At 41.1% G+C, this 13,203-nt stretch overlaps 1 long non-coding RNA gene across 1 annotated transcript, besides 1 other annotated feature; it reads right to left on the reverse strand.

Moving 5' to 3' along the window:
* Window positions 1–1,374: 1,374 nt before the first annotated feature.
* LINC02683 (long intergenic non-protein coding RNA 2683) lies at window positions 1,375–4,791 on the reverse strand. The gene is made up of 2 exons (NR_135052.1): window positions 4,620–4,791; window positions 1,375–1,889 (listed from the first exon to the last, which is right to left on the reverse strand). It is a non-coding gene; the product is annotated as a long intergenic non-protein coding RNA 2683 (long non-coding RNA).
* Window positions 3,256–4,455: an enhancer, noted in NCBI's record as "MED14-independent group 3 enhancer chr11:13944875-13946074 (GRCh37/hg19 assembly coordinates)". NCBI's record gives its function as "activates an origin of replication core promoter dependent on BRD2, BRD4, P300/CBP and CDK7 cofactors, and independent of MED14, by STARR-seq in HCT116 cells {active_cell/tissue: HCT116}" and the evidence as "EXISTENCE:reporter gene assay evidence [ECO:0000049][PMID:35650434]".
* Window positions 4,792–13,203: the final 8,412 nt, after the last annotated feature.

Genomic DNA, 13,203 nt, shown 5'->3' on the forward strand with positions numbered 1-13,203 from the left:
GGAGATTTGTTGTAAGGATTAAGTGAGACGATATATATTTCTTGCTGAGATGATGATATAGTTAGCCATTTGACTGAATCCTTACTCCTCCCCCAAAACCTGTCCTCCTGGTCTGTGACCTTAATCTGGTCAGTTCCCATTTTTCAGGGTCCCACATCAGCCCTCATAGTTCTGTACTTACCTTCATCCCAAGGTTAGAATTGCTCTCTACAGTCTTTGTTGCAGTTTCTTTTCTAATTTCAGGTCCCAACACCTTCTCTCCCATGTGTTCTCATGTAATACCCCTCTCAATGGCCCTTTGTGAAATGCCTGGCCCTCTTCATATAGATCCTGGTACTCTTTCCCCCTGAAGTAAGTTTCCAAAGTGGGAATACCACAGAGCCTCTCTTGACCAGAGATCTTGCTTGTTAAATAGATATTAATCAATGTTGCTGAGATGCCACTCTACCTAAAACTGCCCCACTCAAAATTCTGAGATTTGTGACCCAAGAGGATCCAGTCTGGTGACCAATTCAATTCTCTCTCTCTCTCTCTCCTCTCTCTCTCCCTGTCGGACTTAAAACTAGAGACTGAGATACTTAGTCCATCTGAGATGCTAGAACTTGGAAGTCAGGTGGAGCAGAAGCTTGGGCTCTGCTCCTGGACCTGCTGGAGCTGGACTACGGATGGGGAGAGTTGAGGGATTGTGCAGCCCCTTACCCTTGGTTCCTGGCTTTAATGGATGTTGGCTCTCTATAAAGCCCTTGGGATCTGAGAGACATTCACTATCTGCTTCCATTGAGCTTTCCTTCTGGGGTTGTGTCATTTTGAGTGGGTTTCTGTTTCTCACATTCAAATATTTCCTAACTCTGCTATAGAACTATGAGTGGTGTTGTCATATATGAGTTGTGTGCGGGCTCAATTGTAAACCCCATCAGAGCCAGATAAAAAGAATTTAGGGGGAGTGATGGAATCCATATTGAGACTTGGCATCCAAAGTAGGTTTCTTTTCTTTGCTCATAGCTTGTAACGATGTTATAAAAGAGGCTGCTTCTGTTGCCACCTAATTTTCTTTTTTTTAACCTCTCGGGGTAGACTATAACAAAGGACTCTAGAAAAACAATTATCCACTTTTATGTGGCTTAAAATATTTGGCCAGCCTTACCCTAACAATTTTGGCTAATATGAGAGCAAATTGTGGAGACTAATTATTTAAAGTCCTAAGAATTATAGTACTAAGGAACATACACGTAGAGTGGGGGCCACCAGTAAATTTTAGGATTCAGAAGCTGCGTCTGTTTGTCATTGTTATAAGCCTGTGTGTGTGCGCGCACACACACACACACACACACACACACACACACACACCAGGATTCTACCACACAAGACAGCACCTGACTTTTTAAAATATGTCCTTTTTTATTTTGACAGTGAGCTATGCCAGGTGATCAATTTGAATGACCATTAATCAGTGCAATGAGGTGTCAAAGAAGGCAGAAATCATTAGGAAGGTATTGTCTCTGGAGAGTTTTGCAATTTTCCAAATTTATCTTTATCTAAAGAGACTCATGAGGCTCCACGGTGACATATGTGTCCTATTTACTTCATCAGAACCAGGGTAGCTGGGCACAGATGCACCCAATGAGGGATGAGCTATATCAGTCTGGGGCAAGCTGCATTCTGAGAGGTCAGGGCCGATTGCAGGGAAGGGTCGGCAGAAGGGCAGCACGAGGACATCATCTCATCCAAGAGGTGAGTGTTAGTTAGGCGTGCCCGAGAGGGATGAAGACCTTGAATATCACCAGGCCTCTGGAGACTGGTGTCGCAGGAGTACAATCCTGTCCTGGAAAGGGTAGCCAGAGCTCGGCAGTGGGATGGATCTGTCTGCATCCTCAACAAGGAGAGGTTTCCTATATGAAAAAAAAAAATGCCCAGTTTTAAAGGGACACAGCTTGGCTTGTCACCCTCAGATCTCTGAGCATTGTGATTAAACTGTAAAACTGTCATAAAAGGAAGCATGAAGATTAATAGATAATATTCTTTAGCACTTTAATTTTGTACATTTCAAAATGTAAGAAAATGAATTTCCTGGCCTCTCACCAAAGGAGATATAAATAAATAGCGATTGAGGTTCTAATTTCCTGAGAATTTTAATAAAAAGAAATATTTATGGTTTAAAATTACCCCCGAAATTATGCATCGAAGAATAGATAGTTTATGACTTCGGAGAACAAAAAGAAACTTGCAAATTCTTGATGTTGGCAGATCAATTAAGCGGTAATACATGCTACATTATAATTTTAATCACCATGAAATTAAAATATGGTAATGAATGTTAACATGACTTTATCCTTTCAAACTATAATTTAATTTATGGAACTTTTCTTGACTACTTCCTTATTTCCTTGGTTACTTTTCTTGCTCTGCGTGCTACTTTAGATTATACACTTTCCAATGCACATTATTTAAGACAGCCACCAATTAAATGAGTTCTTCTTCCTTTATCAATTAAGGATCTTGTAGCTAATGTTACTCTTTTTAACCTAGTTCTTTCTGTCTCCCCGCATAAAGTATGCAGAGAATTAGAATAGCGCTCTCTTAATGTCTTTTTTTGGTTTTAAATTTGTTTATTTTTTCCAGTAACACAAAAGGCAGCCCAAGTGTGAGCTTGCTCTCTTCAAGGGTCTTCTTCCTCTAACATATCTGGGGCAGGGACAGAGCTTGTTCTTGGCATCCACATGCCAGCTACTTGGATATGGTGCTGCTCCTCCTGCCTCCCCCATCTCTGTCGGGGCTCCCATTCCTTCCCTCTGCCCAGTGATGCCCCCATCCCACATGCACCTCAGCAGATGGATGGTGTTGCAAAGGCCACGTTTCCCTTTGCTCCTCAAACCTCTAATTTCCAGCACCCCATTTTCAAAGCTCCATGCTGAGATGTCTAAAAAGTATCTCCATAAATGAAGAGAACTGTTTAATAGTACACCAAAAATGACTCAGACGGTAAGGAAAAAGAACAACAAAAAATGTTAAACCCTTCTCTGGTTTTTCCCTGACACCAAGTGCGTGCTGTCTTTTCCAACACCACCGAGTCTCCAATTCCACGACACTAACTGGGTGTTCAGCAATTCAATTCAATTCTGAGACTAACTCTCCATGGTTAGTGCAGTTTCCACAGGTTAAGGGCTCAGGCCCAGGAGACTGCCCCCACTTCAGATGCCAGTCACAAGGCCCAGGTTTCCACCTACATTTCTGAAGGACCTGCTATAAATTCAGTGGTTCCAACTCCCTCTTCAGGTTTGCTAATTTGCTAGAACAACTCACAGATTTCAGGGAAGCACTGTACTTACTATTACTGGTTTATTACGAAGGAATACAGTGCAAGAGCAGCCAAGTGGCAGAAATGCAAAGGGCAAGGCATGGGGGAGGAGCACTGAGCTTCCAGTCCCTCTCCACCCTCCCAGCACCTCTATGTGCTCAACACCCTGGAAGCTCTCTGAACCTCCTTGTTTAGGAGTTTTAACAACCCAATCTTCAGACCTCCGCTTCTCCCCAGAGGTCAGGAGGATTGGAGGGGTAGTGCTGAGAGTTCCCACCCTCTAATCATGTATTTGGTTATTTGGATTTTCTAAGGACCAGCCCTCTATACTGAAATTACCTAGGGATCCCAACCCGAGTGGCCTCATTAGCATTGACTCAGGTGTGTTGGAAGGGGCTTGTTATGACTAACAAAGGACACTCCTGTCACTCAGGAAATTCCAAGGGTTTTAGGAGCCCTGTGCCAAGAACTGGAGACAAAGATCAAATATATTTTTATTATACCACACCTTCCCAGAGGACCCACTGTGTCTTACCCAAGGTTTACTCCTTTCATCTTGAGGTCAACACTCCTGTCTCTCCCTCTTCTTCAACTCCCTGCGTGTGAAACCACACCCCATCCCCACAGGTGGGAAACCTCAGCCTCTCCCCAAAGCTGTTGGTCTAACTCCAGAATCCATTCATTCCACCCAACCAGGTAATCCCCAGGATCACAATAACCCCATTTCTCAAATGCATTGTTTTAAAGTCTGATTTATTCAGCCAAAAATGCAGTGACACGGATGGGGAGTAGTGGCTTGACGGTTGAGTGCTGAAGCAAGTCAGTCTTGAATAGTTTTCTGCAAGAAAACCAACATAATTTCCTGTCTCTACATTAAACAATGCTGAGACCATGCACACTTCCTGGGCCTGTGATAAACAACATTGAGACCAAGAAAAAACAACTTAGTTGGCTGCTCCAGGAAATACCACGCCTTGCAAGGTGAGGCTGTGGGTCAGCTAAATAGTTAAATTATCAAAACTAAGAGCATACTCGTTAAAACACATCAGCATCCTAACTTCACTGCACTCACCAATCTAAAGCCGTTACACCATAACTGTACCCAAACCTAACTAGTTCCTTGCCTTGTAAGATTTGCCTTAAAATCACCCAGTCCAGGCCCTTGTTAGGTCTTCTGATGGCTGCCCGTCAGCTGTAGGATAAAGTAAAAACTTTTATAAATGTATATGTTTACCTGAGCAGCCCTATCTCCATCAATCCAAATTTCACACTTTATTGCAGAACTCTGAAGAATTTGTAACCACCCCAATATGCACATACATACCAAGATGTTTTGCATTTCCATGTCTTTATTCATTTTTCTCATTGTCTTAAATACCCTCCTCCTCTACTCCTTGTTGCCTTGGATAACTCCTACACAACTTTTATTAGTCCAAGGCCTCTCTTCAGGGATCCTTCTCTGAGCCCCAGGCTAGATCAGATGCCCTTCCTTCCTCTTTTCTCCTTGCGCATATATCACAACTCTCCCACTTACAGCATTGCATCAGAATGGTCAGCTTTTACATGCTGCCCTGTCAGCAGAGCTCTAAGAACAGACATGATGTCTTACTGAACATTACAGCTCTCAGGACCTCATGGTTCTAGGAACCTAGGAATGCACAAGTGGTACATGTTGAACTGAACTGAACTGGATTTGGCCATCAGAGTTGTGGTGAATATTTTTCTGGCTTATTGTTCACCTTTAATTTGGGTTGTGAGGGGTTTTGACATAATTTTAATTTTTATGGAGTTGAACCTATTGATCTTCGTGTGATTTCTTCTATTGATTTTGAGCTTCAAAAGTGAAGGACTAGGTTTTAAAGACTTCATGACTAAGCTAAGAAATTCTGCCACCTCATCCTTCTCATTGGGAATAGAAAAACAGCATAAGGCAGAAGAACAAAGAAAACATCTTACCCATCTATTCTCAGAAATTCATGGCTCTTTTCCTTTCTTCCCAGTGAGGAATGGTCTATGTGTCAAAGGCACAGCTTATATTTGCTATCTCAGCTTTTATAATTTTCATCAATGCATGAAGACAGCTATCTTAAAGCTAAGCAATTCCATTTGGCTTTGGGTCCCAAAAGATAACCTATATCTAAGTGCTTCTGCACAAAAAAAAAAAAAAGCATTTGCTGTTTTACTCTTTTCTTATTTTATTTCCTAAATAAATATAATACACTGCAGCAATTTACTCAGCTGGCTCTGCTTGCCTGGCTGTGTGCTTCACCCTTGAGGTCTCCCTCTGAATTGTTGGCCCACCCTCCAAGGGCCAGCTCAAATGTTATGGCCTTGATAAGCCCCTTCTCTGATGAGCTCCTTCTCCTTCTAAACCTGTTTCCTATCCTGTAGATACATGCTTTTATACAACACTCCTAAAATGTAAGCAACATGACACCAAAACTGATGTCTCCTTCATTTGTTCATTCACTGTTCAAACATTAAGCATAACAAATCCTCTGCTAAACACAGGAGAAATGGTAATGAACAAGATAGGCTAGGCCCAAGCCCTGACCTCATGGAACTTGTATCTTAGCAGGGGAGACAACAGTTGAATAGCTAATCACACATTTGCTTACAAGCTAGGAAGAGGCTATGAAAGGAAAATGTAAAAGGATACGAGAATATATTTTAAAAGGGTGAGAGAAGGGGAGTTCAGGAAAAGCTTCTCTGGAAAGTGATATTTTAAGCTAATATTCTAAGTTATATTTGAATAGGTGTTAGCAAAGTAGTGAGGAGTAGGCTGAGGGCAGGGTATACCAGGTGGGGGAATAGCACGTGGCTGGCTAAGGACACTGCTTTGCATACAAAGACACCCAGCGCACATGGATAAAGTAAAGGAAATGATAATACTTATTTAAACAAACAAAATGATATTATTTTGTGTAATAATATCTTGTTTCAACATTCTAACATATTCAACTCTTAAAGAAGAAGCATCAAGAGTAAAATCAAGGTTTTTATATTTTTAGTAGAGACAGGGTTTTGCCATGTTGGCTAGACTGGTCTCGAACTCCTGGCCTCAAGTGATCCGCCCGCCCTGGCCTCCCAAAGTGCTGGGATTACAGGCTTGAGCCACCGCACCCAGCCTGGACTACAGGAATTTAATCAGCTTGAGCACATCAGCCTGTTTTACAGCCTCCTGCCCCATAGCTTGTTTTTTTCCAAACCCCAGGTAGAATGCAGTCACCTGGTTGGCTGGAACCAGTTTATGGCATGTCAATTTACTGAAGAGTCAGAATATGATAATAATTAAGAAAGTGGCTCTGGAATCAGATGGAGTTTAAATCTAAGCTCCATCTCTTACACAAGGTGCGAGACCCTGGGCAAGTTACTTAACTTCTCTGTGCCTTATTGTTTTCATCTGCAAAATAGAATAATAATAATATTTTTTAAAAAGTACCCCCCCCACCCCGCCACAGGCACACCTCATAGGATAGCTGAAGGGATTAGGTGAGATTTAAAAAATGTGACAAGCTAAGAGCACTCAATGAAAGTCAGCACTAATCATTTACCAAAATCAACATATCTGTAAATCTTCTCTATGTCCCTAAATAAAAGAATATTTATTGGAGTTTACATTAATAGTACTAATAGGAAAAGAGAAAGTGTGATTTTTATTTTTCGCCTTCTACCCAAGGAATTTCCCTTGTGAGTATGTCTATATATAGCATTGCCAGTGAAAAGTAGAGCAAAGAACAAGATTTCCAAATGATAAAATTATATTTCCGTTTCAGTCATAATTACATACCTTCATAGCTACTCTCAGGAATTACAAGCATCATTTTTCCTCTGTCTTCACTTTCAAATACCTACAGTGTTGGAATCCTTTGGCAATCTTCTATAAATTTCAAACTGGGGCAACTTAATTAGAATCCTGACTTCTCTCCCTTCCACCAGCAATTGCTTAAGTTTTTGAAAAACATCGTTAAAACAAAGGATGCATTGAGTTTGAGAATATTGGGCTTTATTTGTTTCTGAGACAAGATCATGGGGAGGAAAGCAACTTATAAATGATAAATAGATTTGATATTTAGACTCATCTAGCCTTGATTTCCAGCTTGGGAACCTTCATTTAATATTGAGAAAGACCAGGCTTCATCTTATATCTCACAGTTCTGCACTGGGTTGGTCAACCTACAACATTTTATCCCCTCTAATAGAGCTAGACAGAAAGCAATGAAAAAGAAACAGTAGGGGCAACTGGACTTGAATAGAAGAATAACCATAAATTAATGGTCTATTCATTCCTCCTTGGTCTGCCTTGCTGAGGCTGTGTCCTGCGCAGGTGGCCAAGGCTGCCTAATTAGTGCTTGGGCAGAATGGGGAGTCTGGTGAGACTGCCAAGTGCACCAGTGTTGAGCTTTTAATTTGGAGACTTACCACTTTCTTGACTTTTTTTTTCTTGGTAAAAGCTTTTTTTAGCTCACATACCATACAATTCACCCACTTAAAGTATATAATTCAAGAGTTTATCATACATCCATAGGATTGTGTGATCAGTGCCACAATTGATCTTGGAACATTTTCATCACCCTCAAAGAAACTCCATATTTTTTAGTAATCAATCCCTTCCTAAACACCCCCATGCACCTAACCCTCGGCAATGAGTAATCTACTTTCTGTCCCCATAGATTTACCTATTCTGAACATTTCACGTAAATGAAATCTTAAAATATGTGGCCTTTTGTAATGGGCTCTTTCGCTAGGCACACTGTTTTCAAGGTTCATCCATGTTGTGGCATGTTTCAGTACTTCATTCCTTTTTATGGCCAAATAATATTCCAGTGTATGGCTATACCGCACTTGGTTTATCCATTCATCAGTTGATAGACACTTGGGTTGTTTCTTCCTTTTGACTGTTATGAATAATGCTGCTATGAACAATCATGAGCAAGTTTTTGCACAAACATATGTTTTTATTTCTCTTGTGTATACATATGCACCTAGGAGTGGAATTGCTGGGTCAAATTTTCTTGGTGTTTTAACTTAAAAACAAACCTTATGCCAAATTAAACTAAATGACAGCACTTTGTAAATAATAAATCACCTATAAAAATAAGGTTTCATTTTAACTATCTTGTAGAATATTTAATCTCCTAATTTATTCCAGTAATGTTGAATCCATTTCTACTGTGGACTTTGCACTGTGCTATGTGTTGGGAGTAAAGATTCAAAGAGGACTGAGACATGGATCCTAAACTGGAGGGGATTACTGTCTATACAAATAACTAACATACATTGGATCCTTACTCTAAGCCAAGCATGATACTAAATGTTTTATATGTATCAAATCCGTCACTAGTAATACTACCCTATGAGGTAGATACTATTATCATCCTTATTTTACAGAGGACTTAAGTAACCATCCCAAAGTCACACAGCTGGTAAGTGGCAGAGAACTGTCACACTTCATTGCTCTCCCAGGCCAGGCTGCCTCTCTAGCAACAGTATAACACACAAGAGTTAACAACGTGTCATCTGGAGTTAGATATCCTGAGTTTGAGTGCTACCTCCCCCACTTACCATGTGACCTTGGGCAAATGAATCACACTTCCTACGCTTCACATGCCTAATCTATAAAGAGAGGTTAATCCAAGAACCTACTTCATAGTGTTGACATAAGGATTAAAAGACATAAACATATATTAGTTGCTTGACATGTAGTTAGTGCTCAATAAATATTAGTTGTTGTTATTATCCATAAAAACTCTATAAGCAAATCATTACAAAGGCATGTGATACATTTTAAGGGCTGCCAAATGTCGCAATTTATCTCTGCTGGGAAGGAAAAAAAAAAAGGAAAAAAGGAAAACAAAACAAAACAAAAAAAAACCTCAGGCCAAACTGCAGAAAAGCGTTTGCCTCCTTTTACACGAATTCCATCCATTGACTTTAACAACTGAAGTCTTAAAAGCTGGATTCTGCTTATCTCTTTCGCTTCCATTTCTAGTGCTGTTGGGGAGCCTAATGCAGGGTGGTGATTTGTATTCTGCAAGTGTCTCTTGTCTCACCAAGAAAGGGGCCCATCTGTCTGGTCTTTGGGTGGGTTTGGAACATGACACCCAGGGGATGGGGGTGGCAGCAGAGGAATCAACCCAGGCACCCACAGAGGTGCCAACCAGGCAAGATCCATCCCTCTGCAGGCTCCTGTAAGGAGGGGAAAAGACAATATGATTATTCAAGGGAAGGTCTCATAGAGATGTGTGCTGCATTTAAACACAAATGCATTCTGTCCTCAATAATTTGGTGGAGTTGGCATAGCATTGGGGTCAGCCTGACACGGTATTGAAGAGTCCCAGGGTGCAATGTGACTTGTCACACTAAGTACACTTGTCTCCCACGGCAACAAGTTACTGGGCAGCAGGAGACAGCAGGGCTGGGAAAAGCATTCAGGGGAAGGGTCAACAGGGAGCCCTTCTTTGCACATTTATCCGGCCCCAGATTTGGCTGATGGTTTCAGAATGTGCTAAGTGGTCATCAGCATTCTCGGCTGTTCTAGGGGATGCAGTTAGTCGGGATTGGCTTCCTGGTACTTATTAAAGAAAAATCAGACATCTAGGGAACCAGGCCATGGAGAAGGCTAAGTCCAAAATAAGTATGAGCTTATGGAGACACACATATGAACACACCCCAGGACGACTCTCCTTAAGGATCTTTCAAACTCACATGTTAGATCCTAAGTCAATATTGATTCCCTTTCTCCCTGCTGTCCTGGAAGAACTCTGAGATACCTAAATGTATTATAGCTACTTGCTTACTTATATCTGTTTCTGCCCACTGACTTGTGATTTGGAGTGAACAGGGACTGTGTGTTATTCTTTTAGTGGTCCCAAGACCGTGGTACACGCTGAAAAAAAAAATGTGACTGAATAGAATTTTGGGAGTATATACAACCTTTTGCCCTGGAATTCCATTTAATTATTAGACAAAGTCTATGCAGACGGCTTTACTATTCCTACTTTAACTGGTGTGGAAACTGAGGTTCACAGACATGAAGCAACCTGCCCAAGGTCATGTGGTTGGTGGAGCTGAAATTGAATTTCACAATAAACGTCTGATGGGTGATTAATATACAAAAATCAATTAACCTATTATCACATTAAGACACTTACTAGGATGACTGAAAGAAAATGTCTGGAACTTCCAGAAAGTTCAATATTAATTGCCTTCAGGCCCATGGCACTGAGCTAAATGCCATGAAAGGTAATCCATGCAGATGGCCTGGCTCTCTATTGGATTTTTAAAAATAAAAACCTAGGCCAGGCAGGGTGGCTCATGCCCGTAATCCCAGCACTTTGGGAGGCAGATGCAGGAGAATCACTTAAGCCCAGGAGTTCAAGACCAGCCTGGGCAACATGGTGAAACCCCATCTCTACTAAAAATACAAAAGCTAGCCGGGTGTAGGGGCACAAGCCTGTAATCCCAGCTACTCGGGAGGCTAAGATAGGAGCAATCACCTGAGCCTGTGAGTTGGAGGCTGCAGTAAGCCAAGATAGCGCCACTGCACAATGTGAGTGAGACCTGGCCTCAAAAAAAAAATAATAAAAATAAAAAAGTAAAAACCATAAGTAAAGTATAATTATAGTTAAGAGGATGATTAGTGCCACAGTGAACTTGAATCAATTTGAATATGGACCAGATGAGTGAGAGCTCTCTGAGAACAAGAATTGGTTTTTTTGTTTTGTTTTGTTTTTGTTTTTTAATCACTGTTGTCCTAGAGCCCTGCACAATGCTGGTGACCAACAAATGCTACTGAGATGGATAACGTATAAAGGTATAAAGGCTATGTAACCACTGGATCTGGATATAAAATGTCAATCAGTAGGATTAGATGAACAGGTTCTTTCTAGCTGACTTTCCCACCTGTGTGCCAGACCTCCTCTGCAAGATTCATAGGGTCTTCGTTTCATTGGCATATCCCTGGGGTTAGTAGCTTTGCCATAGCCATATAATAGGTGGTCCAGGTTGTGTTGTATGACCTCAGGAGTAGAGGGATGAGGGCATAGTTCGCCACAGCATTAAGACCACCTCTTCCCCTCTACCCTGGAAGTTGGCTGGAGGTGTGGAGAAATCAATGGACGGGTGAGAAGAAGATAGGGATAGAGGCCAAAGTTTTGTTCACAGAAGCCTGGGGGGCACCTCAGAGTCCAAGGAACAGCAATGGGAGGTTGATGCTTAGCACCAGAAGAGGGGGCTGCAGCTGGTGCAGCTGCTGCTGCAGGTGACATTGTTTGTGGGTACAAGATGGGAGCAGAACACTCTGTAGGGGAGACTAGAGCCCAGGCTAAGCGGAGGAGGACTGGTGCAGGGTGGGAGTTGGCCCAGGAAGAGCACGTACCTCAACAAAGGTTTGCCATGTGCTTAGGGGTGTGGACTGGAGAGAGTATGCTGGGGAAGAAGGGCGTGTATCATGGGAATATGGATAAGAATAAGCTCCAGGATTTCAGTCTACAGAGGAAAACAGACACAGACATGACCAACAGTAATTCTGCATGACAAGTGGGAAAAATAAAGATGGAATGAAGTAATATAATAATTTAAAAGAAGAAGCAGCTTGTGAAAGCTAGTAGGTACCAAGAGCCAGAGAGTTTTGGATTCAGATCCTAACTTACAAGGTGTGTGAGCTAGCACAAGTCATGTAGTTTCATCTAAGCCTTAGTTGCCTTGCCTATAAAACGTGTATAACAGCTTCCTCATAAGCGTTTGTAAAGATTAAAAGGAGATATATGTTAAGTGTTTAGCCCATGGCCTGGCATAATAACACTCACTGAAAATTAGTTGCTATTGCAACTACTACTATTTCAACTTCTATTTGCCAGGCACTGTGCTAAAGGCTTTTGTCTATGCTAGTTAATCTTTACATACACTCTGCTAGTCAGTTATTTTTATCCCATCTTTAATCAATGAGAAAATGGAACCCCTGCGTGTTTAAATAATACAGGTAGTATATAGCAGCCCTAGACTCACCTCGAGGCATGACAAGTTTCAGACACTCCACTCTAGTCACCATCCTGCTGCTTTATTACTACAAATATAACACTTTAAAATATATTCATATTTATACTACAAATATTTTTATAGTAATAAAATAGCAGGGTGGTGACTAGAGTGGAGTGTCTGAAACCGGTCAGTTTCCAATACCTATGGAAATTGCCTAGGTTAGTGCTTAGATAATCATCATAATAATAGCAACAATGAAGATATTATAATCATAATATATTTATAATTATTATATTATAGCTATTATTAAGCGTGTGTAATAATAATTACAGATTACTATGATTATTTTGTACCTAATTATTAGGCACTAAACTAGGTACTTTTCCTACATTGGCTCATTTAATCCTTGTAATAACCCTATGAATCAGAAACTATGATTTTCTCCATTTTGCAGATAAGATTAAGTGACTTGTCCAAATTGTCTAACTATCAAGTGGTGGAGTTGTACTTTGAAGTGGGTAGGGGAACTTTACTCCAGACTCTGTGTATTTTCTGACACTCCAGCCTGCTTAGTTTTAGTGGAAGCGTTTTTCCATCTCTCTAATTTGTCCTTTTTTCTCTTTTCTCTCTCCTTTTTCTCCTTCCTTTTCATCCTTGTCTCAAGGGAATTTCTCGTTTTCTTTCTTTTTTTTTTTTATATTATACTTTAAGTTCTAGGATACATGTGCACAACGTGCAGGTTTGTTACACATGTATACATGTGCCATGTTGGCGTGCTGCACCCATTAACTCGTCATTTACATTAGGTATATCTCCTAATGCTATCTCTCCCCCCTTCACCCTCCCCCCACCCCACGACAGGCCCCAGTGTGTGATGTTCCCCTTCCTGTATCCATGTGTTCTCATCGTTCAATTCCCACCTATGA

Source organism: Homo sapiens, chromosome 11 (genome assembly GCF_000001405.40).
Source record: "Homo sapiens chromosome 11, GRCh38.p14 Primary Assembly".
Taxonomy (NCBI): domain Eukaryota; kingdom Metazoa; phylum Chordata; class Mammalia; order Primates; family Hominidae; genus Homo; species Homo sapiens.